Genomic DNA, 11,314 nt, shown 5'->3' with positions numbered 1-11,314 from the left:
GCAAGCACAGCAGTGGCCAAACTTTGAAATTCTTTTCTATGTATAAGCAAGTCTATTAAAAAATAAACGCAGAACAGACAAATTCGTTGAGACAGAAAGGAGCTTTGTGACTGCCAGGGGCTGAGAGAGAGGGATTGGGGCTGTGACTGTTTGATAGGTTTCCTTCTGGAAAATTCTATTCCTAGAATATTTTGCTCCCCCAGAAGGAACCCTATGAAACAGACACACCCCCAATCCCTCTCATTGTAAATGTACAGCAACATTGTAAATGCACACACACGTCCCTGAACTGTTCACTTTTGAAAGGATTGCTTGCGTGCCATGCAAACTTAATCTCAGTTTTAAAAAATTGAGAAGCTGGGTGTGGTAGCTCACGCCTGTAATCCCAGCGCTTTGGGAGGCCAAGGAGGGCGGATCACGAGGTCAAGAGATCGAGACCATCCTGGCCAACACGGTGAAACCCCGTCTGTACCAAAAATACAAAAAATTAGCCGGGCTTCGTGGTGGGCGCCCCTTCGTCCGGCCTGAAGTCTCTTTTATAAGGGATGAATCCCATTCATGAGGATCCAACCCTCCTGACCACCACGCGCCTCGGCCTCCCAAAGTGCTGGGATTACAGGCGTGAGCCACCGCGCCCGGCCAGATGTCCACATCTTAATTCATCGTAAGTTCCTTCAAATCAACCGTTGTTGAGGCAGAAATCAACTGGCTCTTGGGGCTCATGATGTGGGGGTGACCTACCACATTTGTGTGTGTGTGTGTTTAGTGTGGTGTCTGTCCTGTGCAGAGTGTGTGTGTTTAGCGACGTCTGCGTCTGTTGCGTGTAATTGTAGATTATGTGTTATGTGTGTGTATTCAGTGTGACGTCTGTCCTGTGCAGAGTGTATGTGTTTAGTGTGGTTTGTGTGTGTTGTGTGTAGTGTGTATTTTCTGTGTTGTAAGTGTGTGGTGTCTGGTATCTGTATTGTGCATAGTGTGTGTTTAGTGTGGTTTGCATGTGTTGTGTGCAATGTGTATTTTGTGGGTGCAGTGTGTGTTTAGTGTGGTTTGTGTTGTGTGTAGTATGTATTTGTGTGTTTTGTGTGTGTATTGTGTGGCATCTGTGTTGTGCATAACGTCTGTGTTTAGTGTTGTGTATATGTAGTAGGTATTTTGTGTGTTGCATGTGTGTGTTTTATGTGGCATCTGTTTTGCGCACAGAATATGTGTTTAGTGTGGTTTGTGTGTATTTTGTGTGTTGTATGTGTGTGTGTTGTGTGGCATCTGTTGTGCACAGTGTATGTGTTTACTGTGGTTTGTGTGTGTTGTGTGTAGTGTGTATTTTGTGTGTTGTAAGTGTCTGTTGTCTGGTATCTGTATTGTGCATAGTGTGTGTTTACTGTGGTTTGTGTGTGTTGTGTGTAGTGTGTATTTTGTGTGTTGGGTGTGTGCGTGTTGTGTGGCATCTGTGTTGTGCATATGTGTTTAGTGTGGTTTGTGTGTGCTGTGTGTAGTGTGTATTTTGTGTGTTATATGTGTGTGTGTGGTGTGGCATCTGTGTTGTGCATAGTGTGTGTGGTTTGTGAGGCCAGTCTGTGTTTTTCTATGTATTTTGTGTGTCATATGTATTTTGTGTATATGTGTATTTAGTGTGGTGTTTGTACTGTGCAGAGTGTGTGTGTTTAGTGTGGTTTGTGTGGTTTGTGTGTAGTGTGCATTTGTGTGTGCAGTGTGTGGTTTGTGCTGTGTTGTGTATAGTATGTATTTGCGTGTTTTATGTGTGTGTGTTCTGTGGCATCTGTGTTGTGCATATGTGTTTAGTGTGGTTTGTGTGTGTTGTGTATATTTTGTGTGTTCTATGTGTGTGTGTTGTGTGGCATCTTTGTTGTGCATAGCATATGTGTTTAGTGTGGTTTGTGTGTGCTGTGTGTAGTGTGTATTCTGTGTGTTGTGTGCAGTAGGTGTTTTGTGTGTAGTGTGTATTTTATGTGTTGTGTGTGTGTGGTGTGGCATCTGTGTTGTGCATAGTGTATGTGTTTACTGTGGTTTGTGTGTGTTGGGACTGGGACCTAATGGCTGTCTACACAGCAGGCTCCTATGCAGCTCCATCCTGGGACTGGGACCTAATGGCCGTCTATGCAGCAGACTAGGATGTACCTGCATCCTGGGACCTAATGGCCGTCTACACAGCAGGCTTGACTCCAGCTCCATCCTGGGACTGGGACCTAATGGCTGTCTACACAGCAGGCTCGACTCCAGCTCCATCCTGGGACTGGGACCTAATGGCTGTCTACACAGCAGGCTCCTATGCAGCTCTATCCTGGGACTAGGACCTAATGGTCATCTACGCAGCAGACTCAAATCCAGCTCCATCCTGGGACCTAATGGCCATCTATGCAGCAGACTTGGATCCACCTGCGTCCCGGGACCTAATGGCCGTCTATGCAGCAGACTTGAATCCAGCTCCGTCTCAGGACCTAATGGATGTCTACACAGCAGGCTCGAATCCAGCTCCGTCCTGGGACCTCATGGCCATCTATGCAGCAGACTCAAATCCAGCTCCGTCCCGGGACCTAATGGCTGTCTACACAGCAGGCTCGAATCCAACTCCATCCCAGGACCTAATGGCTGTCTACACAGCAGGCTCGAATCCAGCTCCATCCCGGGACCTAATGGCCATCTATGCAGCAGACTCGAATCCAGCTCTGTCCCGGGACCTAATGGCTGTCTACACAGCAGGCTCGAATCCAGCTCCATCCCGGGACATAATGGCCGTCTATGCAGCAGACTCGAATCCAGCTCTGTCCCAGGACCTAATGGCTGTCTACACAGCAGGCTCGAATCCAACTCCATCCCAGGACCTAATGGCTGTCTACACAGCAGGCTCGAATCCAGCTCCGTCCCGGGACCTAATGGCCGTCTATGCAGCAGACTCGAATCCAGCTCCGTCCCAGGACCTAATGGGTGTCTACACAGCAGGCTCGAATCCAGCTCCATCCTGGGACCTGATGGCCGTCTATGCAGCAGGGTTGGCCGCCCACCCCGAGTTTATTCAGCTGCGGCCGCGCCGTCATGCCGTGGAGACTGTCGGCTTTTTCCGGGATCTTTTTTATCATTGCCTTTGCAAAGGTTCCGTCGAGTTTTATGCTGAGCTATGAAATTAGACCGATCGATTTTCTTCCTGCGTACAGAGGCAGAGGGGGAGCGACCTGGCTTTATGAAGTTGTAACGAACTGAATACCGAGGCTTGGCTCTGATCTCGTCTGCAGCAGTGGACGACTAATCCGTGTCCACACTCCACCGAGGATCTGAACAGTCCTGGGCAGGAGGAGGAATCTTCAGACTCGACCCCATCCAGAGGGACGGGGGTTCGAGGCCTGGCTGGTCCCGTCCTGCACTCCCCGGACGCTCCGGCCGTAGGATTTGCAGCTGATTTTAATTGCTTGTCGCCTCTGCTGGCTCACGATGGCTCCGGGAACCCAGCACAGAGACGTAGCACAATGCCAGGCCTGATTTTAATTTCTCGTCGCCTGTGCTGGCTCAGATGGCTCCGGGAACCCAGCACAGAGACAGGCCGGCTCGCAGAAGAGATGCTTCCCGGGAGCGTCTGGGAGGGAGCCTGGCTCTGGCAAGCCGGGGAGGGCTTTGGGGACCGGATTTGCGCTGGGGATGGCCATTCTGCCTGGGATTAACAGGATTAAAAAGCATTAAATGAGCGTCCTCCAACTCCCCACAGCAGACTTGCTTTCCGAAAGGATCCTCCTAGAGGCTCTGAGCACCCGGGGTGACCACAGAAAATAAAGGTTCCCCTTTAGCATGACAAAGGAGGGCTGCACGCATCCAGGGGTACAAATGCTCTGCCATATCCTCAATCCCATTGTTCCCCGCTCCGACACGGGGCCCCCTTCCTCCCCTTTCCCTTTCCCTTTTTTGTTTTTTTTTTTTTTAATTTCTCCGTGCAGAGCTCAAGGTGTCATATTAATTATTTAAATCTCGGGAAGATTTCAGCAGTGATCCACCAAAGGCCCTCTTCGGAGCCAGAAGGCCTTGGCTCTGTGTTAGTTTTTCTTAATTAGAGCTGAAATGAGAACTTTGATCTCCGGGCACAGAATGGCCAAAGAGGAGGCGGGGAAACTTCCCATGCGATTTTTTTTTTTTTTTTTTTTTTTAGTTTTTTTCTTTTCTGCCATACCTATCGTCTGTCTGGGCTGTTACTGTATGACACTTTGATCCACCTCGTTCTGGGGAAACAATTCAAGTACAAGAGGAACTTAAACAACTCAAAGGGCCGGCCGGGATGAGAGCCCAGTGGTTCGTCTGTCGGTCACCGCCTGCCAACACAGTTTTGTTATTTATTTTGGCCGTCTACACAGCAGGCTCAGATGCAGCCACATCCTGGGACCTAATGGCTGTCTACACAGCAGGGTCCAATGCAGCTCCGTCCCAGGATCTAATGGCCATCTATGCAGCAGACTCAGATGCAGCTGCATCCCGGGACCTAATGGCTGTCTACACAGCAGGGTCCAATGCAGCTCCATCCCAGGACCTAATGGCCGTCCATGCAGCAGGCTCAGATGTAGCTGCATCCCGGGACCTAATAGCTGTCTACACAGCAGGGTCCAATGCAGCTCCGTCCCAGGACTTAATGGCCGTCTATGCAGCAGGCTCAGATGTAGCTGCATCCCGGGACCTAATAGCCATCTACATAGCAGGCTCGAATCCAGCTCCATCCTGGGACTGGGACCTAATGGCCGTCTACACAGCAGGCTCGACTCCAGCTCCATCCTGGGACTGGGACCTAATGGCCGTCTACACAGCAGGCTCGAATCCAGCTCCATCCTGGGACTGGGACCTAATGGCCATCTATGCAGCAGACTCGGATGCAGCTACATCCTGGGACCTAATGGCTGTCTACACAGCAGGGTCCAATGCAGCTCTGTCCCAGGACCTAATGGCCGTCTATGCAGCAGGCTCAGATGTAGCTGCATCCCGAGACCTAATAGCCATCTACATAGCAGGCTCGAATCCAGCTCCATCCTGGGACCTAATGGCCATCTATGCAGCAGACTCGGATCCACCTGCGTCCTGGGACCTAATAGCCATCTACATAGCAGGCTCCACTCCAGCTCCATCCTGGGACTGGGACCTAATGGCCGTCTACACAGCAGGCTCGAATCCAGCTCCATCCTGGGACCTAATGGCCATCTATGCAGCAGACTCGGATCCACCTGCGTCCTGGGACCTAATAGCCATCTACATAGCAGGCTCAACTCCAGCTCCATCCTGGGACTGGGACCTAATGGCCGTCTACACAGCAGACTCGGATGCAGCTACATCCCAGGACCTAATGGCTCTCTACACAGCAGGGTCCAATGCAGCTCCGTCCCAGGACCTAATGGCCATCTATGCAGCAGGCTCAGATGTAGCTGCATCCTGGGACCTAATGGCTGTCTACACAGCAGGGTCCAATGCAGCTCCATCCCAGGACCTAATGGCCATCTATGCAGCAGGCTCAGATGTAGCTGCATCCCGGGACCTAATGGCTGTCTACACAGCAGGCTCGAATCCAGCTCCATCCTGGGACCTAATGGCCTTCTATGCAGCAGACTCAGATCCACCTGCATCCTGGGACCTAATAGCCATCTACATAGCAGGCTTGAATCCGGCTCCATCCTGGGACTGGGACCTAATGGCCGTCTACACAGCAGGCTCGAATCCAGCTCCATCCTGGGACCTAATGGCCGTCTATGCAGCAGACTCGGATCCACCTGCGTCCTGGGATGCAGACATGGGGGACAGAGAAGGGATCCTCATCCCAGGCCTCCAACGTGGGGACATGGGGACTAGTCTTGCCTCATTAACGCCTCTGTGTCTGCAGGAGCAGCGGCCGCAGCAAAGGCCCTGATTAAACAGCAGGCCTGAGTTTTCTCTGCAAAAAAAAAAAAAAACGTTTTCCTCTCTCATCGTGGTTTTGCAGACCGGAGCTTCCCCAGAAAGAGGTCACCTCCGAGGGCTCGCCTCGTTAGAATGCCTGGCTCATTTGCATTTGTCTTATGGAAAAAGCACAGGGTGACATCAAGCAATCGGGGGAAAAAATATATATATATATATCAAAAAGTGAGCCACAGTTCACGGAAGATGAAATCTGTGAATTTCACCCAACGCCTCGGAGAGACTACGGTACGGCTTCCTAACGACAAAATCAAAAAGACATCCCCAGCCTCCACCAGCAGGCCCGGCCCCGGGGCCCCGAGCCCACCCTGTGTCCGCCGAGCCCACTTCGCTGAGCTTTGCCTACGAGCCTTCGTTAGCGACCAACGCAGATCAATCCGGCCCCCGGTTCCCTTTGGAATGATTCAGCTGCGTGTCACCCCGTGGGTCAGCGGCGGTTTCCCCCCACTTGCAGAGAACGGGAAGAGGAGCATTTGCTGAGATATCCCTCCAAGATTGAAAGAGCCGGTCTCACAATATCAAGCCGAAGACTCATCCGGAGGTTCTGAGGTTTAGGGCTCTAAATTATAGCAACACGACTGCAATCTTTGAGGGTTTTTTTTTTCTTTCTCTTTTTTTAAATAAGCATGCATATTTTAGAGTGCATTTTCTGCCTCAGAAATAATTGGGATTTACAGCTGTTAAGATAATGACATGCTGTCTCTGTCAGACTCTCGGAGACAGAAGGAGGATTTCTCCCTGGCCTATGGATCCCAGAAGACTGGGGTGTGGACAGACTTTTCCCTGTACCCCCATAATCCAGCACCTCTGGGGCCCAGGGGCAAATGCATATGCTTTGTGATAACGTGTGCGCCTTCCCTTAAGACTCCAAGGCGACAGGACGGCCAGGAAGAGGCTCACAGTTGCTATAATTCCAGCAAAGACACTCCCATGTCTCAGGGCAGGGAATGGGAGAAAACACCTGTTATTTGTCCTGGGAAACAGTCCAAGCCAAGACTTACCTGGTCAGGTGAGCAACGTGGCTTTGACAGCCCCAGACAGCAGCTCAGGAATGTAACGCGCTCAAAAAAAATTTAAAAAAACTGAATTTCTCTAAAACGGTTGTCTGCTGGCAGAGACGGTTAAAAAAAGTCACTTTGGGCTGCGCATGGTGGCTCATGCCTGTCATCCCAGCACTTTGGGAGGCCGAGGCGGGTGGATCCCCTGAGGCCAGGAGCTCCAGACCATCCTGGCCAACATGGTGAAACCCCGTCTCTACTAAAAATACAAAAATGAGCCAGGCGTGGTGGCGGGCGCCTGTAATTCCAGCTACTCGGGAGGCTGAGGCAGGAGAATCGCCTGAACCCGGGAGGCGGAGGTTGCAGTGAACCGAGATCTCACCACTGCACTCCAGCCTGGGCAACAAGAGCGAAACTCCATCAAAAAAAACAAAAAAACAAAAAAACACCGAATTTCTCTAAAACGGTTGTCTGCTGGCAGAGACAGTTAAAAAAAAAATCACTTTGGGCTGGGCACGGTGGCTCACGCCTGTAATCCCAGCACTTTGGGAGGCTGAGGCGGGTGGATCCCCTGAGGTCAGGAGTTCGAGACCAGCCTGGCCAACATGGTGAAACCCCATCTCTACTAAAAATACAAAAATGAGTTGGGCGTGGTGGCGGGCGCCTGTAATCCCAGCTACTGGGGAGGCTGAGGCAAGAGAATCACTCGAACCTGCAGTTCCAGCTATATATTTTTTATATATAAAATCTCTAACCTGGGAGGTGGAGGTTGCAGTGAACCAAGACCACGCCATTGCACTCCAGCCTGGGTGACAGAGGGAGTCTCCATCTGAAAAAAATATATATATATATAAATATATATTTGTAGGTTTATATATAATATAAAAATATATATAAATATGTTTATATATTAATATAAATATAGGTTTATATATTATATATAAATATAGGTTTATATATATTATAAATATAGGTTTATATATAAAAATATAATATGAAAATATATATTGCATATATTACATGTATATAAATATTGCATATATTACATATATTAGATATTACATGTATATTATATTGCATATTATATATGTGTTATATATGTGATATGTAAGTTATGTATGTGTACATTATATATTTTATATTTTATATATGTAATATATTACATATTATGTGTAGTATAATGTATATTATATATGCAATATAATGTATATGGTATATTATGTATGTAATATAACATATATATCTGTAGTATATATAATATGTGTCATATATAATATGTATGTAATATATAAAATATATACATATTAGCCAGGTGTGGTGGCGTGCCCCTGCAGTTCCAGCTACTTGGGAGGCCAAGGTGAGATGATCTCTTAAGCCCAGGAGTTTGAGACCAGCCTGTGCCACGTAGCAAGATCCCATCTGCATTTTAAGAAAAAAAAACAGTTGGGGAGTGAACACCTTTATAGAGAGAGAAAATAAATATCTCTGGGTTCACTTAGGTGAGATGGAGGAATTGCTTGATTAACTATCCTTCCAATCGTTTACATACCAGCCAAGCTCAAAAGGGAGGTGTGGTTTGGAGCACGCCTCCAAGGCTGGGCACCCAGCTCCCAGCTCCCAGCTCTCCGGCATCGTTCGTGTCAGTTACGGAGCGGTAACCGGGACGGTGTGACAGGTGCCCATTCACAATGGGGAAGTGTTTCCTACGCAGGCAGCACACGCAGACCCCAGAGTGGTTTGTTTGTTTGAGATGGAGTCTCGCCCTGTCACCCAGGCTGGAGTGCAGTGGTGAGATCTCGGCTCACTGCATTGTCCACCTCCCAGGTTCAAGCGATTCTCCTGCCTCGGCCTCCCGAGTAGCTGGGATTACAGGCACCCACCACCACACCCAGCTAATTTTTGTATTTTTAGTAGAGACGGGGTTTCACCGTATTAGCCAGGATGGTCTCGATCTCCTGACCTCATGATCCGCCCGCCTCCGCCTCCCAAAGCTCTGGGATGACAGGCGTGAGTGGTATTTACTATCTAGGTGGGAATCATGAGTCGGCTCCTTGCGAGGGGATGTCCCACGACGGGGAATGTCACCTTTTTTCCTTGCAGGCTTTGAAAATCGAGACATCCTTGCGACCTCCTGTTTTGGGGAGAAACAATCCTGTTTCTTCATGACACTCATTACGTCCATTTCATCAGGTGCAATTTCCACGGCTATCAAGTCCTGGCCGCTTGATGGCCATGGACAGGAGGAGAGAAGGGTGCTGGCCAGACGGAGAGAAGGGTGCTGGCCAGACAAAGCCAAGGGTGCTGGCCAGACAAAGCTAAGGGGTTACGAGAGCCAGCCCACCTTCGTCCCCAAAGGAGACAGAGTGGCTCCGAGGCCATCGATGTCCGGCCGGCCGGGGCCTGCTCTCTTCTGGAAAATGAGTTTTTTGCCGTTGGTGAGTGCCAGGGTCCCTCTCAGAGCCCGTCTCTGCAAGGGGATCTTTTAATTACCTCTTTCCCCCAGTGACTTCTTTCGCCCCTGGAGGGGTGGCAAAGCTTTCATACTGTATCCTATTTTAATCTGTCATGACTGAGGAAGCCAGATGGCTCTTGATGACAAGCTCTCCCTCAAAACAGCCCGAACTTTCTATCAGAGGATTTGTAAGATGACGGTTTAAAAAGAGAGAGGCTGGGGGGTGCGTTTGCCTCCCACAAAATAACCTGAATTTTAATTGGACATCATAGTTTGGCAGTGATTTCCACGTGATTACCATTTCTGGTTAAGGAGCAGGTGGATTAGACGCGTAACCAAAATGGTATTAAAAGTTCCCAGAAAGGAGATTTACTTTTAAAATACGGAATCACGAAGAAAAGTTGTCAGGACCCTCATGTGTGGGACTCAGGGCTTCTAACAACTTCCCCTTGCCCAGCGCGTCCCTTTTTTCTTTTTCTTTCTTTTTTTTTTTCTTTGAGACGGAGTCTCGCTTTGTCGCCCAGGCTTGAGTGCAGTGGTGTGATCTCAGCTCACTGCAACCTCCACCTCCTGGGTTCAAGCGTTTCTCCTGTTTCAGCCTCCTGAGTAGCTGGGATGACAGGTGCACGCCAACGCACCTGGCTAACTTTTGTATTTTTTGTAGAGGCAGGTTTTGCCGTGTTGGCCAGACTGGTCTCCAACTCCTGGCCTCAGGTGATCTGTGTGCGACTGTTAATGTGTGTGAGTCTGTGTGTGCTCATGCGCACTGATCCGTGTGTGTCTGTGTATGTGTGTGAGTCTGTATCTATACTCACATGCACTGATCTGTGTGTGACTGTTGCCATGAAAATAGATGTGTGTGGGTGCACGTTTCTACCTGTGGGTGTGTGCACATGTGTGTGACTGTGTATGTGTGTGTCTGTGTACTCATGCGCACTGATCCCTGTGCGACTGTGTATGTGTGTGTCTGCAGACTCACACACATAAACAGTAACACAGATCAGTGCGCACAACACACAGACACACACATACACAGTCACACATGGATCAGGGCGCATGAGCACATGCAGACACACATACACAGTGAATGCACAAAACTAGGAGTGTGTGCTTTGCATTGTGCGTGTATGTGCATGTGCATTTGCATGTGAGGGCTCATGGCTGTGTGTGCTTGCCTTCTGTACACGTATATGCATATGGGCTTGTGTGCATGTGTGAGGCTTGCAAGAATGCGTGCATGCACCTGCACGTGAGGGCTCATGACTGTGAATGTGTGCTTGCCTTCTGTACACATATATGCATATGGGCTTGTGTGCATGTGTGGGGTTTGCAAGAATGCGTGCATGCACCTGCACGTGAGGGCTCATGACTGAATGTGTGCTTGCCTTCTGTACACCTCTGTGCAGAGATACTTGTGTGCATCTGTGCATGTGGGAGCTTGAATGAATGCATGCATGCAGTTGTATGTGAGCGCTCATGACTATCAGTGTGTGCTTGACTTCTGTACAAATATATGCATATGGGCTTGTGTGCATGTGTGGGGTTTGCAAGAATGCATGCATGCACCTGCACGTGAGGGCTCATGGCTGTGTGTGCTTGCCTTCTGTACATGTATATGCATATGTGCTTGTGTGCATGTGTGGGGCTTGCAAGAATGCGTGCATGCGCCTGCATGTGAGGGCTCATGACTGTGAATGTGTGCTTGCCTTCTGTACACGTATATGCATATGTGCTTGTGTGCATGTGTGAGGCTTGCAAGAATGCGTGCATGCACCTGCACATGAGGGCTCATGACTGTGAATGTGTGCTTGCCTTCTGTACACATATATGCATATGGGCTTGGGTGCATGTGTGAGGTTTGCAAGAATGCATGCATGCACCTGCACGTGAGGGCTCATGGCTGTGGGTGTGTGCTTGCCTTCTGTACACGTAT

The 11,314-nt window shown here is 49.3% G+C and overlaps 5 annotated features.

Moving 5' to 3' along the window:
• Window positions 2,852–3,418: an enhancer, noted in NCBI's record as "H3K27ac-H3K4me1 hESC enhancer chrX:461079-461645 (GRCh37/hg19 assembly coordinates)". NCBI's record gives its function as "activates a minimal SCP1, AML or CMV promoter by ChIP-STARR-seq in primed H9 embryonic stem cells {active_cell/tissue: H9 hESC(primed)}" and the evidence as "EXISTENCE:reporter gene assay evidence [ECO:0000049][PMID:30033119]".
• Window positions 3,419–3,986: an enhancer, noted in NCBI's record as "H3K27ac-H3K4me1 hESC enhancer chrX:460511-461078 (GRCh37/hg19 assembly coordinates)". NCBI's record gives its function as "activates a minimal SCP1, AML or CMV promoter by ChIP-STARR-seq in primed H9 embryonic stem cells {active_cell/tissue: H9 hESC(primed)}" and the evidence as "EXISTENCE:reporter gene assay evidence [ECO:0000049][PMID:30033119]".
• Window positions 3,419–4,218: a biological region, named in NCBI's record as "CNE-3 enhancer upstream of SHOX". NCBI's record gives its function as "regulatory_interactions: SHOX".
• Window positions 3,833–4,217: an enhancer, noted in NCBI's record as "CNE-3 PCR-amplified reporter construct fragment". NCBI's record gives its function as "activates a beta-globin promoter by in ovo reporter assays in chicken limb buds {active_cell/tissue: limb bud}" and the evidence as "EXISTENCE:reporter gene assay evidence [ECO:0000049][PMID:19997128]".
• Window positions 3,833–4,218: an enhancer, noted in NCBI's record as "CNE-3 PCR-amplified reporter construct fragment". NCBI's record gives its function as "activates a SHOX promoter by reporter assays in human U2OS osteosarcoma cells {active_cell/tissue: U2OS}" and the evidence as "EXISTENCE:reporter gene assay evidence [ECO:0000049][PMID:26631348]".

The sequence above is a fragment of the Homo sapiens genome, chromosome Y, assembly GCF_000001405.40.
Source record: "Homo sapiens chromosome Y, GRCh38.p14 Primary Assembly".
Classification (NCBI taxonomy): domain Eukaryota; kingdom Metazoa; phylum Chordata; class Mammalia; order Primates; family Hominidae; genus Homo; species Homo sapiens.
This window is presented reverse-complemented; position numbering and strand designations above follow the sequence as displayed.